At 47.1% G+C, this 18099-nt stretch overlaps 1 protein-coding gene across 15 annotated transcripts in view, besides 1 other annotated feature; it reads right to left on the bottom strand.

The window, feature by feature from the left end:
* The window catches only part of RNF220 (ring finger protein 220), a 246942-nt gene that overhangs the window by 66430 nt on the left and 162413 nt on the right, over positions 1-18099 (bottom strand). The gene's annotated exons all lie outside the window — the stretch shown is intronic.
* Positions 12993-13112: a silencer, noted in NCBI's record as "silent region_810". NCBI's record gives its function as "represses an Ori minimal core promoter by ATAC-STARR-seq in GM12878 lymphoblastoid cells {active_cell/tissue: GM12878}" and the evidence as "EXISTENCE:reporter gene assay evidence [ECO:0000049][PMID:35858748]".

Here is an 18099-nt window from a genome sequence, read left to right as displayed (position 1 = left end):
GCTTCAGACGGACATGAGGAAATGGGATCCCAAGTGCTAGCAGAGGGAACAGTTCCTGCTAGTGAGGGACATTAGTCTACTGGAGAGATAGATGGGTTAAACAGACCTGGGGACGAGAGGCACTAGAGGAAACCCACGGGGCCTGGGGAGTCAGGAGACGGGAGATGACATCTTAATACCATCTTTGTCAGGAGAGCCAGGTGACCTGGTGGGTAGACATTTGGGCTTCTCTCCTCTGCCTTTCCCTAGGATGCATGGTGACAGCTCAGGCAACTGGATTAGAAATGCTACTTCTGGGCTGGGCGTGGTGGCTCACGCCTGTAATCCCAGCACTTTGGGAGGCGGAAGTGGGCAGATCACTTGAGGTCAGGAGTTCGAGACCAGCCTGGCCAACATGGTGAAACCCCGTCTCTACTAAAAATACAAAAAGTAGCCAGGCGTGGCGGCAGGCACCTGCAATCCCAGCTATTTGGGAGGCTGAGGCAGGAGAATCACTTGAACCTGGGAGGCAGAGGTTGCAGCGAGCTGAGATGGCGCCACTGCACTCCAGCCTAGGCGACAGAGTGAGACTCAGTCTCAAAAGAAAAAAGCAAACAAACAAACAAAAAACAAAAAGAAATGTTACTTCTGGCTGTGCCAAGACAAGCTTGGGGAGCAATTCTTGGGCTACATATACCTGAGCCCCACGTTCCAGTACCTGCAACTACTGAGGGACAGCCAGCTAGGGTTTCCCCACCATCCTGACAACCTTCAGGGGAGCCAACTCCTATTTCCAGAGCTGGAGCCAGCTAGGCTTTCCTGAGTGCAGCAATAAAAGGGGAAAATCAACATCCCAATGATCTTGTTTATGGTGCTAAGTAAGCTGCACAGCTTAATCCCTACGAGGTTAATGAATTTACGACTTGCTTTGGAATTTGACAAGGGCTATAAAAGAGGAATGAACCACGCTCTGGACAGCTCCTTCCTAGCGGCTGCTAGGGTTGGACTAGCTTGACCCGCCCTGATGAAGGAGGGGTGAAGACGTAAGTGGTGGGTTCATGGCCAATTGTCTGGGTTCTGAATTGAGTGGACCAAAGGAGGGACAATCTAAGGGCCAAAGGACATTTCCTGTAACCCTCTGGCTAGGTCAGGGTGAGCAGCCTGGGCTGCTCGAGCTGGAGTTCCCAGGTCTTCAGGTGACCTTGGTGTCTTGGGCAAGTCATTTAACCTCTCTGAGCCTCTGTTTCCTCATCTGGAAGAGACACGATGCTATGTACCTCATGTTGTAGCTGTGAGAATGATGTGAGAGAATGCATGTAAAGGAACTAGCATTGGATTTGTATATAGTAAGTCCTCAAAAAATGTTAGTGGTGGTAATTATCATTTCATTCTGTCTTAAATCATAATTTGCTGTCTACTTGTCTATGCCCCCACCATTTATCCATCCATTCAGAAATTCAATAAATCTTTACTGAGAAATTAGACTGCGTGCCAGGCCCTGTGTCAGATACAATTTGGAATGAGAGGCACATACCTTAAAACACATTAAAAAGAAAGGAGATTGGTGCTGGGAAGGAAGGACGTACAGGTTACCCTGAATGCACAAAGAAAGAAGTGGCTGAACCTGCCTCTCTAGTCTAAGCCAGTTTTGAATAATGCCTTCTACTGATAGAGCACTTAGCACATCACAGAAGTGATGTTCTTTGATTCTTTTGATTCTCGAAATAATCCAGTAATGACCACATTTTCTAAATCAAAAATTAGAATCCAGTGTGACTACATGGTATGGCAATAGGTCAAAACATTTGGAATAGGGACAGGTTAGAAAAGCTGGGACATGCTGAACTTCATAAACAGAGAGGGCACAGATTTCTAGTATCTGTTTGAACAGCTATGAAAATGAAGCTAAAATTGTCAGTGGGAGAAGTGAGGCTTCATCCCATTCATTCACTGATTACTTTGCGAGAAGCCAAGGGCAAGGACTGTGCTGCTTACTTCTGGGTACACGGAGCCTAGAATAGAACCTGCAGAGATTAGAGCCTCAATAAATGTTTCTCACATGAATAATGAATCTTTGTATAAGTATATATATATATATATCTGCTTCTGGAAGCAAAATTCAAAAGAGAAACTGATATTCATCATTTTCTCTTTTTCCCCTCTCATATTGTCTTGAAAGCGCTCTGGCTGGGATTGACAAGCGTTCCCTTTTTGCCAGTTCTGATGGTTAAGTCTCAGTAATCCTCACCGGACTCCACGGACAGTGACTTGAGCTCAGTAGATCACTCCCTTCTTCTTCTTCTTTTTTGGAAATGGAGTTTTGCTCTTGTTGCCCAGGCTGGAGGGCAATGGCGTGATCTCGACTCACTGCAACCTCCACCTCCCGGGTTCAAGCGATTCTCCTGTCTCAGCCTCCTGAATAGCTGGGATTACAGGCTAATTTTTGGTATTTTTAGTAGAGATGGGGTTTCACTATGTTGGCCAGGCTGATCTCGAACTCCTGACCTCAGGTGATCCACCCGCCTCGGCCTCCCAAAGTGCCTTTTTTTTTTTTTTTTTGAGATGTAGTCTCACTATGTTGGCCAGGCTGGAGTGCAGTAACGCGATCTTTGCTCACTGCAACCTCCGCCTTCCGGATTCAATCAATTCTCCTGCCTCAGCCTCCTGAGTAGCTGGGATTAGAGGCGCCTGCCACCACGCCCAGCTAATTTTTGTATTTTTAGTAGAGATGGGGTTTCACCATATTGGCCAGGCTGGTCTCAAACTCCTAACCTCAAGTGATCCACCTGCCTCGGCCTCCCAACGTGCTGGGATTACAGGCGTGAGCCACCGCGCCCGGCACCACTCGCTTCTTCTTGAATTTTTTACTTGGCTTTGGGTACCTCAGTCCCCTGTTTCTTCCTGCATCACTGGGCACCCATTATTCTCTTTGCTGGAGGGCCCTTCTTTTCCCATCCTTTAAATACTGGACGGCAAGAACAGACATATAAGAGGGGTGCATGGATGTGGGAGTGGATGGACATTGCCGCTCAGGAGCAGGACCCCTGCTTTTGTGGGCTGCCAGTTTCTCAGGCTTTGCCTTAGGGTGCATCTCTTTCCCGTTCCCCTCATCCAAGCTTACTGGCTTCTTGGTTTCCAGCTCTAGTTTTTTCAAAGTCTTCTCTCTTCCTTTGACTGTCCTCATTCTTCCACTCTGCAACTAGAGTTCTTCTGTGATCTGGTGACTCCCATCAAACAAACCAACAGCCCAAGGATCTGAGAAGCAGCTCCGTTTAGCTGTAAGGAAGTAACTTCCCAAGGTGAGTGCTGGCCAGGCCGAATGTGGAAAGTCAGGGAGGCATAGATGCTGGTGCTGGTGGGCGCTTCCCTTGGCCACATTGACACCAGCATTGACAGAAAATGTCCATTTCCATTGACCTGGCTAGTGGGCACAGCTGCTTCACACCTAGAGATGAAACCCCAGCACACAAGGAACACAAGAATGGAGCAAGAAGAGCAGGCTTGGGTCCTAGCTTTGCCAAAGAGGAATGAATAGAGAACACCAGCAGATCCCAGGTTCCAGTCAGGTTCCCAGAGGAAGGCCCAGGATCCTGCCCACCCCAGCCCCCTAGGACTCTTTCTTCCCTCATGTCCTTTGCCTCCTCTTTGCATCCACCCTGTCCCTCAGCTCTCTCTCCAGAGTCCCTCAAAGGTCCCTCTCTGCCAAAGGATGATCGTCTTAGGAAAAACACTGAGGGTTTGGTCCTGACTTTCCGTTTCCCATGCACTCCAGACCTGAAAGCCATGGTTGCCTGGCCAGAGGTTTCATTTTTTCTGGAAACCACCCTTCCCTACTCCCCAGGCATGTGTGGGAAAGAGCTTGGCCAAAGCAGGGATTCCCTGGCCGGCACCCTGGGGAGGCCCTTTGCTCTCCAGGGAGGGTCCCTGTAGGCTCCACCTGTCCAACTGGCCTCACTGCAGGGGACAAGCAGCTGGGACCTGTCCTGCCGGCGTAGAGGCTGAAACAGGCTAATGAATCCTGATGGGAGAAGTGACCTTTTCCAAATGCCACATGTCATTGGATTTTATATCACACAAGGACAATGTGCCATGGGTATTAAAATCGTTTTTCCAATAGTTATATATGTGTGTGAGTGTGGTGCAGAGTCCGTATGATGAGAGGAAAATCCTAATGAAGATGTCATCAAATGAACCTTCCCCGATCAGCACCAGACAGGCAGTCCTTCCGGACACTCTCTCTCTCAGCCAAGGCTTGGCCTAGACCTCAGCTCTTAAGCACAGATGAGCCTTTCTCCCATGAAGTTCTCCTGGCCCAGACTCTGGCTCTGGGCATGGCCTTGACTCCACTTCCTGCTCTAGGAAGCTCTATTCAAAATCAAGGGAAGAGCAAGGCCTGGAGAAGGCGGCCACACAGCGAATGGACACAGGCCCTAGGCATGCCACTGTCCACTCCTCAGTCTCCTGGAGAAGCTGGAGGATGCTTTGGGAAGGAGGGACACACAACCAGCAGAGCAGGTCAGGTGGCAGGTGTGGCACTCAGCAGCTTCCAGAGCTCTGAAGGCTGGGAGAGGCTGGGATTGGAGCCCAGAACCCCAGACTGTTCTCTATAAAGCCTCAAAGGGTCTTATGGTCTAGCCTGTCTTCACAATCTTCCTAATAGGTGGCCTGCCCAAACACCTCCGAGGCCAGGAGGCTCCAGACATCCTCAGGCGGCTTTGCTGCTCTGGGGAGCTTCGGCTGTTTAGAAAGTTCACACACAGCTTGAGCTAAAATCTATTTCCCTGGAAGTTCCACCCACTGGTCTGTGTTTAAACTCTTGGGCTCAGACAGAAAAGGTTTGATCTCTGTCCCACACAATAGCCTTTTGGAAATCTAAAAACAACAATAATGTCCCCTGGAGTCTTCTTTTCTCTAAGTTGAACATTTCTAGTCCATTCAGTGATTTCCAACATGACCCGATTTCAAATATCCTGACCCATAGGCACTCCAGTTCTATTCTGCTGAGAACATTAGGCCCATTTTCTATTGTCATGGTGGGAAAAGGGGAAAAAAGCACAGCATCTGGAGTTGGAGGCCCAAGGTTCAAAATCCCAGCTTCATTATGTAATAGCAACAGGAATTTGAGTAAGTTTCTTCATCTTTTTGAGATTCAGTTTCTTTATCCTAACACTAGATGAAGGGACAACCTTCTCCATGGAACAATTTCTTCTTTCTTTCTTTCTTTTTCTTTTCTTTTCTTTCTTTCTTTCTTTTCTTTCTTTTTTTTTTTTTTTTTTTTTTTTTTTGTGAGACAGGGTCTTGCTCTGTTGCCCTGGCTGGAGTGCAGTGGCATGACATGGCTCACTGCAACCTCTGCCTCCTAGGCTCAAGTGATCCTCTCACCTTAGCCTCCCAGTAGCTGGGACTACAGATGCACGCCACCACACCTGGCTAATTTTTTGGTATTTTTTATAGAGATGGATTCTCACCATGTTGCCCAGGCTGGTCTCAAACTCCTGGACTCAAGCAATCTACCCACCTCAGCCTCCCGAAGGCTTGAGCCACCATGCCTGGCCTGGAACAACTTCTTCAGGACATGGTCCAAAGATAGGTCAGGACCTCAGTGGGGACTTACTTAAGCAGAGGAGGTCAGCAGAAGTCACAGTATGAGGAGAGGAGCAGAAAGAATAAACAATATCCACAAATAGCTGGTTGTCTCGGATGAGTGTCCAGAACCAACTGTCCCAAAGTCCTAGCAAATAGCTTCAAGTACACAGTTTTCCCCATTCTTGCCCTTAGACAAACAGGCTCACATGTAAGAGGCTGCTTGCCCCAGTGATGGAGCCACCCTGTTCTTAGGCCCCACAGCGCCAGAACTCAAGAGTCAAAGCTCAGACTGGGGGTCCAAGTCTAGGGAGAGATTAAGATGCAGCACACTAGCACTTAGTAAAGCAACTAGTGTTGATTTCCATCAAGCCTCCCTGTCCTTTCTTTGCTCAGACTCCTCGGTAGTCTGGGTCTGAGTCTTGGTCCTACTGCTCAGTGACTGTGTGGTCTTGGTCAAGTTACTTAAGCCCCTCTGCCTGCTTCTTCATTTGAAATATGCAGTTAGTCTACCCATCTCTTGGTTGTTATGAAGATTGCATGATTTTCTTTCTTTCTTTTTCTTTTTTTTTTTTCTGAGACAGAGTCTCGATCTGTCACCCAGACTGGAGTGCAGTGGCGTGATCTCGGCTCACTACAACCACTGCCTCCTGGGTTCAAGTGATTCCCCTCCCTCAGCCTCCCGAGTAGCTGGGATTACAGGCGCCTGCCTGTAATTTTTTTGTATTTTTAGTAGAGTTGGGGTTTCGCTGTATTAGCCAGGATGGTCTCAATCTCCTGACCTCGTGATCCACCCGCCTCGGCCTCCCAAAGTGCTGGGATTACAGGCGTGAGCCACCGCACCCGGCCTGAGGATTGCATGATTTTCTGTGTGGAAAACAGAATAAAGAATGTTGGGCACACTGTGAGCACTCAATAAATATTAGCTACTGTTATTATCCCACTCTCAGGATATTTGTGAAGATCAAGGATGCTAAACCATAGGCAGGTGTCATTCTTGGCAAACTATCAGGGTCTGTGGTCTGTGGGAGTGATTAGAGTTGTTGATCAGTGTCTCTTCTCCCAAACTGGACATTGTCCTCCAGGTGGATCTACCGCTACCTGACAAGTGCAGAGTGGAACAGAACTCTCTATCCCCTGAAGTGTTCTGGGATCCAAATAATAGTAGATGCATGGGGGCCCATAGCACTTGCCGACTTCTTTCTTCTAAATTTACTATCAAATAACCCCCAGAGCTTCTCTTCAGCTTAGCCTTCCTTCCCTTGGCATGGACTCAAATTGAAATACTTATCCCACTGGCCAGGCGCGGTAGCTCATGCCTGTAATCCCAGCACTTTGGGAGGATCACTTGAGGCCAGAGTTCAAGACCAGCCTGGCCAACATGGTGAAACCCCATCTCTACTAGAAATACAAAAAATGAGCTGGGCATGGTGGCCCACGCCTGTAATCCCAGCTACTTGGGAGGCTGAGGTCAGAGAACTGCTTGAACCCGGCAGGTGGAGGTTGCAGAGAGCCAAGATTGCACCACTGCACTCCAGGCTGGGAGACAGAGCACGACTCTGTCTCAACAAAAAAAAAAAAAAAAAAAGGAAAGAAAGAAAGAAAGAAAGAAAATCCCAGTTGCATTCATCTGGTTGGAAGATTCTACCCATCATCTGAGCCACTTTGGGAGGCTGAGGTGGGAGGGTTGTTTGAGCCCAGGAATTCAAGACCAGCCTGGACAACATGGTGAGGCCCTGTCTCTACAAAAAATCTAAAAATTAGCTGGGACTGGAGGCTGAGGTAAGAGGATCACTTGAGCCCAGAAGGTCAAGGCTGCAGTGAGCTGTGATCATGCCATTGCACTCCAGCCTGGGGGATAGGGTGAGACCCTTTCTCAAAAAAAAAAAAAAAAGGCATTTGACACGCCCAACTAATTTTTGTATTTTTAGTAGAGATGGGGTTTCACCATGTTGGCCAGGTGGGTCTCAAACTCCTGACCTCAAGTGATCCACCCGCCTCGGCCTCCCACAGTGCTGGGATTATAGGCGTGAGCCATTGTCCCCAGTATTTTACCACGCTGTTTATTTCCTTTGTGGTACTGATCACTCCCTTAAGTATCTTGTATCTTTTCATTGTCTGTTTCCCACTTCTAAAGCAAAAGCTCCTTGGTAACAGGGTTTTGTTCGTCACTATTTCAAGTGTTGAGAACACAGAGTAGATGCCTATTAAATATGTGTCAAATGAATGAATGGCATAGGATCAGGGATGGACACATAAAGTGGTGATAAAGGGCACTAAGGTTGAGGTGGTCAAGAGCTGAGAATCTGCTTTAGATGGCAGAAGGGAAAAGCTGGGAGGAGAGGTGGCAGTGGGGAGAAGGGAGAAGCTGGGAGGAGAGGTGGCAGTGGGGAGAGGGGAGAAGCTGGGAGGAGAGGTGGCAGCGGGTAAGAGGGGGTGCACTGCAGTTTGGGGCTGAAAATACTGGAGAAGGCTGCAGGGGCTTGTACTTGGGCAGTGGCCGAAGATGGCTTGGATGTGAAACCTGATAGGAAGACAGTCCTAGGGTTTCACATGTAACTTTGGTATCAAGATTATTGGAATGTAGAGTGAACTTTCCTATGAGAGCCAGAGTGGGGCTATCTGAGCCAATGTTGGACAGACTGTCTTGACTATTTGAATCTGCTGTATCAGCCTCTGCTCTGTGTTCTAACAAGACCTTGGATATACCTCTATATATACTTGGCAAATGCTCAATTCCTTACCCTCCTGTCGGCTCCTGGAGCCTGTCCCCACTTGTCTGCAGTTTCCGTCTTTGACCCCTTTCCCAGAAGTGAGCCTAGAGTAGAGAAGGCAAAGTGAGTTGAGCTGAGGTGAGAAGAGAGGAGATGAGGTGAGGAAGATCATTGAGACTTCAGCTTGGCCCAGCCCAACCAGACCCACAGTCAGCACAGCAATTGTCCGGCTGAAATAACAAGTCAGAGACGAAAAAACTGGCCATCCCTCTTTGTTTACTCAGCTTTTTTCCCCCCTTTTTCTTTGGACAATGCCCTGCTGGGCTGGGGCTGTCCTGCTGGGTTGTTGCTGGGCTCCCCTGCCAAGATGGAGCCCAGCTGCTCAGCTGTTTACAAGGCAAATCCGGTTTACACTGGGGCCCATCCTGTCCTGGCTGGGCTGGGGAGCTTCAGTCACAGCCCAGCCACTGGCTTCTCCTTGCCCAGGGCTCCCCAGTCTTAGGCTGGGGGCACTAGAATTGGGAGGGAATCCTACATGCCCAAAGGCCAGGGAAGGCATCAGCCTCAAGATGGAATGAAAACAGTGTAAGATCTGGTCCCGCAGCCAAACTTCTGCCCTTAGGAGCCCCAGAGAAAGGAGAACTGCTGGAATCCCATGGCTTCCATCTCTGTTCTTTCAAGTGGTGAACTTGTGACAACAAAGTTCACCAACAAAGTTCACTCCTCCTGGCCACCCCCTATTCTCCCTGGTAGCTAAGGTCTGGGAACTAATCTCTGCCTTATCTACCACTATCCCCCAGAAACTGCTATAAGGATCAAAGAAAATTATGTGTATGCACAGACTTGGAAAGCATTTGTTGCTCTGATGAAGTAATGTATGCTAGTTCACCCAAGTGATCTATGGTAGTTCACCCAAGTGGAATTTGTTGCTCTGATGAAGTGATCTATGGTAGTTCACCTGAGTGAAGTGGTAGATCACCCAAGTGATCTCTACGGATGAGGATCAAGTGGCTAGACTGGCAGTTGCTCAAGGGCAGGGACCATGTCCTCGTCAACCTGGTGGTCCCAGGGCCCATTATGGAGCATGTCACACAGTGGGACACAATTATTTCATTTATTAAACAAATGTTTCTTAAGAAGCTTGCAGACTAGTGGGAGAGCAGGCAATAAAAAGCACAGTGATCCCTTTGATATACTGATTTCTTCCCTTTGGATAAATACCCAGTAGTGGGATTGTTGAATTGCAAGGTAGTTCTATTTTCAGTTTTTTGAGAATCTCCATATCGTTTTCCATAACGTCTGTACTAATTTACATTCCCACCAACTGTGTATAAGAGTTCCCTTTTCTTCGCATTCTTGCCAGCATCTGTTACTTTTTGTCTTTTTAATAATAGCCATTCTAACTGGGTAAGATGGTATCTCATTGTGGTTTTGGTTTGCATTTCCCTGGTGATTAGTGATGCTCAGCATTTTTTCATGTACCTGTTGGCCATTTGTATGTCTTATTTTGAGAAATGTCTGTTCATGTCCTTTGCCCACCGTACTTGACTCCCATGTTTATTGCAGCACTAATCACAACAGCAAAGATACAGAGTCAACCTGAGTGCCCACCAACAGATGAATGGATAAAGAAAATGTGGTATATTATTTAGCCATTAAAAAAATGAAATCCTGTCATTTTCAGCAACATGGATGGAAGTGAAGATCATTGTTTAAGTGAAATAAACCAGGCACAGAAAGACCAATACTGCATGTTCTCACTGATATGTGGGAGCTAAAAAAGTTGATCTCATGGAGGTAGAGAACAGAGTGATAGTTACCAGAGGCTGGGCAGGGAGTGCGTGTGATGAAGAGAGGTTGGTTAATGGGTACAATAATACAGTTAGATGGAAGGAATAAGTTCTAATGGAAGGAATAAGTTCTAATGTTTGATAGCAGAGTAGGATGACTATAGTTAACAATGATGTATATTTCAAAATAGTTAGAAGAGAGGACTTGAAATGTTTCCAGTACGTAGAAATGACAAATACTCGAGGTGATGGAAACCCTAAATACCCTGATTTGGTAATTGCACATTCTATGCATGTAACAAAATGTCATATGTGATCTGTAAATATGTACAAATATTATGAGTCAATAAAAAATAAAAAAAAAACACAAATGCAAAACAACAACAACAACAAAACCACAGCAAAAGCAACAATCCCATAGGGGTTAGCACAGGCGGCTGAGGAAGCACAGAGGAATCACCCCACCCCGGGCTGGAGGTCAGGGAAGGCTTCTCAAAGGCAGTGACATCTAAGACACAGCAAACAAATGTGCTTATTAAACAAAGGAGGAATGAACGTGCAGAATCCCTAATGGCAGTGCAGGGGCAGGCTGACCTGGGTGCTCTCTCTTACTCCTTTACCCTCACAAAATAGCACTGAAGGGCCAGGCTTTAGGCTCTTGGGCTTTGGGGCTGGTGAACTGTCTGGGTCTGGCTTCTCTAAGTAAATGTATTAAAGATTCACAGTGAAGCCCTGAGAGGCTTTTTCTATGTTACCCAGTCTTCTTAAACTGGAGCACAGAACAGTGTAAGAAAGTATACTCATGAGTTGCAGGAAGCACAGGATAAACATGTGTTCTGGACTTTCTCAATGGTAAGAAATTTAAAGCTTAATTTAAAAATATGACCTGAAGGACAAGTAAGAGTTAGCCAAGTGAAGTGGGATAGGGCAGAGGTCATTCCAAACAGAGGGGAGAGTTTAGGAAAAGGCACTCCAGAGGGCAAGGGCTATAGGAGGAAGAGCATGGCCCAGCTGGGGAAATGTGAGTATTACACTATTTTTTATTTTCTTATTTATTTATTCATTCATTCGTTCATTCATTCATTCGTTCATTCACTCATCCATCCATTCATTCATTTATTTAGGACAAGGGTCTCACTCTGTTGCTCAGGCTGGAGTCCAGTGGCATGACAGCCTCCATCTCCCTGGGCTCAGGTGATGCTCCCACCTCAGCCTCCTGAGTAGCTGAGACTACAGGTGTGCACCACCACGCCCAGCTCATATTTTTTGGTATTTTTTGTAGAGATGGGGTTGTGCCGTGTTGCCCAGGCTGGTCTCGAACTCCTGGGCTCAAGCAATCCACCCACCTTGGGCTCCCAAAGTGCTGGCATTACAGGGGTGAGCCACCACGCCCAGCCCTGAATATTACAGTATGACCAGAGGGAAAATAACTCTAAGAGGACATAGGGATGATTCCAGAGAGGTAAGCAAGGGTTAGATGATGTAGGGCCTAGTAAGCTCAGTTTTTTGTCCTGTTGGAGACATGTTTCCATGAAATCAACTACCATCTATAGTCTATTAATTCCAAATTTTCTATCTCTATCCTTGAGCCCCTCTTGGGAAATCAGACCCCTATATCCAACTGTCAGTGGATGTAAACTCATTAAACTCATGCTATCTGATATGAACTCTCCTGATTTCCTTCCAGGCTTGCTCTTGATCCTCCTTTAGGCCTCTGCTCCACTCCAGGTCTGCTTTCCATGATGCCCACTGCTAGGTTTCCTTCTGTAGATTCTGGTCTCTTCTCTTCTTTCTAGCCCGGTGTCCTCATGGACTGATAGCTCAGTCATAACCCCTGGGCTGTCCTGATCCTGACATCTCTTTTTTCTGGATGCAGCATTCCATGGGCAGGGCCCAGGCAAATCTGACCATGCAACTCTCCTTCAAAGCCTTCAATGGATCCCCATTATCCTCAAGATAAACAAGAAGAAGTTCAAACTCCTTGGCACCCAACACATAGTGTTCTAGTGAAGGGTAAATGAGATAATGCATGTGAAGCAGCTGGCACATCGCCTGGGACGTTTTAGGGTTTTAGGCATTCAATTAATAATAGCCATTATTACTCTTATAATAATTATATAATTTATATTATATCATTATCATATTATAATTATATTATAAGCTCCCCCTACCCTGTACCACATTCTGGCACCTGTCTTTCTCTTCAGTTCTCCTGCGTGCTTTCTTCTTTGAGGGCCTCGAGAACTTCTCTTTCAAGTCTCCACATCTTTATCCATTTCATTCAACGTGATTTCCACCTGGAGGATCTTTCCCTTCATTGTTTACTTGGTGAACAACATCCTTCCTCATGGGTATCTCTCCCCAAGTAGAGTAATGGTGCAAAATTATAGGGCCAAACATTTCTCTTAGACAATAAAGGTTACTTGGTATTGAAGAGAAGAGACACAAGCATGACCTGAATCCTTAGCGGCAGCAGCTGATGGCAGATATCAAAAGCTACTCTTGAGGCAATGAGTCACAGACACCGAGAGAGCTGAGAAGTGGCTGGGCCAGAGAAGACCTGCCTGGGAGAATGGCTGGTCTTGCTGCTGCAGAGGCCAGCAGATCAGAAGGAGGTAGAAGGAACAGTAAATAGGATATTGCAATGTACAGAGAGAGATTCACTTTGTCATTGATTTCACAAAACATTATTCAGCACCCACTTTGTGCTGAGCTTTAATTATGAAAGAGGGGCTTTTCATTTAGTGAAGAGTCAGATGAGTAAACAGGAATTACAGAACCACATGATGCATATTATAAGAGCAGTGGCGGGGTGCCATCGAGGCTGGGTTTCAAAGAGTCCCTTCCCTTGTGAATTTCAGGGTACAATCACATGCAACAAATATTCAAGAGCACTTGCTCTGTGCCAGGCACTGTGCTGGGTGCTGAGGACACAGAGGCTATAAAGATGAATGAGATGATTTCTGCCACCTAGTGGGAGGAGACAGCTATGTTTTAAAATGCCACAAAGGTAGTCAAATGTCACATGTCCCCAGACTGCCTCCTCTTCCATTTAATGTGAGAGGAGTCATTATCATCTAATTCCTCAACTAGAAGCCTGGATATTATCTCTGACTCCAGGATTTATGTTTTAGATTAACCATAAAACATCCTGTAGAGGAAGGACCGGAGGCAGGGAGACCAGCTGGAGGCTGTCCCAGTCACTGGGGTGAGAGATGGCAATGTGGCCTGGACTAGGCTAGGAGCCTTGGAAATGGAGGGAAGTGGACTGATCTGAGAGCTATTTAAGGGTAGGATGAACGGAATTTAGGGATTGATTAGATGGAGGTCTGAGAAAGGAAGAGGGGTAATAATCTCAGGTTTCTGGATGGGCATTTAAGATTGTGGTGCCATTTAATGAAATGGGAGCTAAAGAAGGGAGAAAAATGGTATGTTCCATTTTGGACATATGTGTGTTAGACATACGACACATGGGGAGATGTCCTGTAGGTGGCTGGAAAGTGAGTTGGAAGCTCAGGAGATTGATTTGGATTGAAGTTAAGATTTAGAAGCTGCTGGCATATGGTGTAGCATTTACATGGAAGATCATGAGATCACCCTGATAGAACATGTGCAGACAAAAGCAGAGCAAACATTCATTCATTTATTCAAGAAATTTATTAAGCACCTACCATGTTCCAGGAGCTAGAAATCTAACAGTGAATGTAGAACTTACTTTCTACTGCTGGAGTAGGCAACCAACAAATAAAGACACAGTGGCATGTCAGGTAGGCACACGCAAAATGAAGGAAAATGAGCAGGGTAAGGAGATGCTGAGAGTGACAGCAGGTGGCCAGGAAAGGCCTCTCTGAAGAAGTGACATTTGAGCAGATATCTGAGTGAAATGAAGAAGAGAGTCATGAGGATCTGCGAAGGAGGAGTGTTTCAGGTAGAGGAAATAAGTTCAAAGGCTCTGATGGGGAAGGTACTCAGTGTATTCAAGGAACGATGGGGATAATGTGGCCGTGGTAGAGAGAGCAGATGGAAGAGGGGCCAGACTGTAGGGTCTTGTAGGTTGGGAAGAGGACACTGGATTTTATTCTGTGTGATAGGAAGGTCTGGAAAAGTTAGGAGCAGAGCAGTAATATAATCTGATTTATCTTTTTTTTTTTTCTTCAGATGGAGTCTCTCTCTGTCACCCAGGTGGTAATGCAGTGGTGTGATCTTGGTGCACTGCAACCTCTGCCTCCTGGGTTCAAGCGATTCTCCTGCCTCAGCCTCCTGAGTAGCTAGGATTACACGTGCGCACCACCATGCCCAGCTAATTTTTGTATTTTTAGTAGAGACAGGGTTTTACCATGTTGACCAGGCTGGTCTCGAACTCCTGGCCTCAAATGACCTACCCGCCTTGACCTTCCAAAGTGCTGGGATTACAGGTGTGAGACACCACACTCGGCCTGATTTATCTTTTAAAGGCTTATTTTGGCTGCTGTGCAAAGAATAGATCGTGGGAGGGCCGGAAAGGAAGCAGGAAGATTGCAATAGCACAAGTGTGAGATGACAGTGACCTGCATCGCGACATGAGCGTGAAGGAGGGAGAAGTCTGGATGCCTTCCCATTCCTGATACATTGGATCAATAAAGTAAAAAGAGGTGCCAAGACTCAGAGGTGAAATAGAAAGGAGGAGACTTCGGCTTTAGCCTGTTCTGATCTAACCACATAGTCTCGGGGACATTATCCGACCCCTCTGTACTTTACTTTCCTTAGTCCAACATAAGTCCTTAACACATGGCGTGCCTCCTGTGTGGTGGACATTCAGCGCCAAATGGAACGGACAAACAGCTACATTCTAGTAGGGAAGAAGACAAGCAATTTTCAGAAGAAATGTTACCAAAGATCCCCCAGAATACTGTCATAGAAAAGTGGACAAGGGAAAGGGACAGCGCTGGATGGGGTTTGTAAGAAAAGCCCCAGTAAAGGCGTCATGGAAGGTGAGTCAGGAACAGGACCTCCACCCTCACTAGATCTGCCTCTCAGCTTTGCTGCTGTTCACTGAGATGAGGGATGGAAAAGCACAGGCACTACAGCAGTGACAAAGGACTGGACTGTCTGAACTTCGCTCAGCTCTCCTCCCCATTACCCAAAATATATACCCATCGCTTCCATTCGGACCTGAAAAACAGCAACTCCTTCCTTTGTGCTGCAAAGGCCTTTAGGGGCAGCGCCTTCTCTGGCACCTGTCTCTAGGGGCCTTCATAGGATGGTCCCAAGGGTGCCCGATCTTCTAGGAGCTCACAGCACCTAGAACCACTGCCAAGTGTAATACCAAACACCATCATAGGCCTGCTACCCCTTTCAGACTATGAACTCCTGCTGGGGCCCAGGACGATGCGGGTAGAGGGCGTCTAAACAAATGACTATTGAAGGAGTGGTCTAGAAAGAAATGCCCCTTTTGTCTCCTTTTCTCAGCTCCCCATGGCCTTCCTTCTCCCTTCCTCCTTGTTCCCCCTCAGCAGCCCCACACCCCTTCCCACCAGACCCTGGCTTCTCAGCAGGTAGTGTAGAGATCCTGGCTCTGCCAGGGTGGGGTCTGAGCTGGTGCCTAAGTCAGCAGGCTTTGCCCACAGCCCCATCCTGACAGGCGGTGCCTCTGGCAGCAAAGTCATGGCCCTGATTCCTCTGTCTCCACATTTAAGAACATCTCTAACTGCTCCTTGGATAGCTCAATTAGTAAAGTGAATATATTATATAAAGTCTAAAAGATTAAACTATCATCGTCAGCCCATAATTTCATGAAGAAGTCAGGGGACCGTATCCCTCTTATTAACTCTATAACAAATGTGATGAAAATGTTCAAATAGAATGTTAATGCAATGTTACGTGTAATTTTCCCAGGCGATTTTCTGCTGAAATATTTCTTTATTAATAGTAATTGAGGGTATAAATTATGAATGAGGCGATTTTCTCCTTTCAGTAGGAAAGACGTACTAATGGCAATAATTCTTTATAATAATTTTTGGGGATAGTGGGGCGGGGAGAGAGGCTAGTCTAAAAACAGACAAAAGCACCTTTCCAAAGTCTCCCTTGGGGAGACAGTGCATTTGCCACAGACAACCTCTCTTTAGCTTCCACACACCTCAGACTGCCCGCAAGTGAAGTGTTTGTTCTTCATCAGTTTTCCAAAAACCTCAAGGTCTGTTTAAAGGGCTGGAAGGAAGTTTTTGCCTCTAAGTTCTGAAATGGACCAAGTTCTGAAGCCAAACTTTTCTGCTTAGAAACTGCACTGCCAAAAAGACCAAAGCGAGGCTCCTTTGCTGAGCTCCCAGACCCAGTCTGTCTGGACCCAAACCATCTTTTGTAGCATCCTAGAATATTCAAGGAGGAATAGCCTCCGAAGCCTTCCCATGGAATCCCCCATCCCATCCCATAAATGAAAGAATAAAAGGGCACAGAGATAATAAGTTCTAAGCTACACAACATGTTGGTGGGGGAGCTCGGACTCCACCCAAGCAACCTTCTGCACGCGTCCCAGCCTCTCCTGAACAGGCTGCCACTCTCCTGCCTTCGCAACTCCATCCCCGCTGATTCCTGGCCTGGGCATCTGGAGAGTGCTTCAGGAGGGCAAGGACTACAGAGAAACGCCTTCCAAATCCTGCAAAGGAGTTAGACTAGTACATTTCTCTAGGGTCTTTCTTCATTCAGGGATATCCCAGCTGGCATTTGCCCATTCATTTATTTGGCAGACATTAAACAAACATTTACCATGTGGCCAGGCACTGTGCTAGGGATGGGGGTTACAAAGGTGAATTTATCCAACAAGAATTAAGATAAATTCAGGGTGCTCAAGGTCACAGGTGGGAAAGACAAGCATCGGTGCACAGATACCTATGTGAGATAATACATGTGAGTCATATCATTAGAATGTTTGAGGAGCTGCCACACGGCCAGTGTGGCTGGAGCAGAGTGAGGTGGGGATGAGTGCAGGGAGGCTGAGGGAGGCAGAACTGGCAGGGCCTTGTGGCCACAGTAAGGATTTTACCCTGATTGGGAGGGCTCGTTACTGGAGGATTCTCAGCAGAGGAGTGGCACAGTGTCACCTACATTGTTGAAAAGGACACTCTGATGGATCTCTAGTTGGATGTGGAGATTGAAGAAGAGGGACTCTAGGAGGAACCAGAATTCCAGCAGTGGTGACACAGCGCTGATTCTCTGTGTGCCATTCACTGAGTTAGGGATGCTCACTGGGGAACAGAGTCAGAGGCATGATCACATAGTTCAGCTTTGGACAAGTTGAGTCTGAGGAGCCTGAGGGTCAATGGGAACCTCCAGGAGTCCGGGTGGAGTCTGGAGCTGCAGGGTGAAATGGGGCTCCCCAGGCAGGTTTTCAGCAGGGACTCGCACAGCCTCTGGGTTCACATGGCGCCTGGTACACTGAGTTTCATGTCTGTTCAGAAGTCTTTCTCCCTAGTAGATGTGAGCTCCATGAGCTCCAGTCAGAGTGTACTGAGTGAGCAAGCGAATGAATGAGTGAAGGGAGGAAGAGAGAACAACGACTTATGCTGTGTGAGGCTATCCCTAGGGTCTTAGTGGCCACCTCAGAATCTCTCTTGATTGCTGCTAAACAGTCTATTTCCCTTACCCTCCCACCCCTGCCCCAGTAAGGGTAGGCTCTCTCCAAGTCTCCTGATCTTGAGAAACGATCTTCTCAAGATCGCTTGAGAAATGCTGTTGATGACCTCAACAGGCATTCTTGGTGTCATTCACGGGGCTTCTCAGTTGGTCACTGCTGAGTGCTCAGCCCCTTCCCTGGAGCAGGAGAAAAGGTCCCCTTCAGGTCTGAGACTCTGGCGGGGGCTATGTGGCCAACTCTTGTCCCTGTCCCAGGATCATACACAGCTGGGAATCTCATCACATGCTCCTCCCTTCACCCTCTTGCTATGTTCTAATCCCCAACAGCTGGGTCAGAAATGGGGTCACTGTAATAAGCAAGTCTTGTTTTGCTCAAAACAACACTCTTCCAAGTCTTCTGTTTGTACTGTTCCTGGTTCCCTAAC

Source organism: Homo sapiens, chromosome 1 (genome assembly GCF_000001405.40).
Source record: "Homo sapiens chromosome 1, GRCh38.p14 Primary Assembly".
NCBI classification, from domain to species: domain Eukaryota; kingdom Metazoa; phylum Chordata; class Mammalia; order Primates; family Hominidae; genus Homo; species Homo sapiens.
The sequence above is the reverse complement of the archived record's forward strand: the minus strand, read 5'-3'. Positions and strand labels throughout refer to the sequence as shown.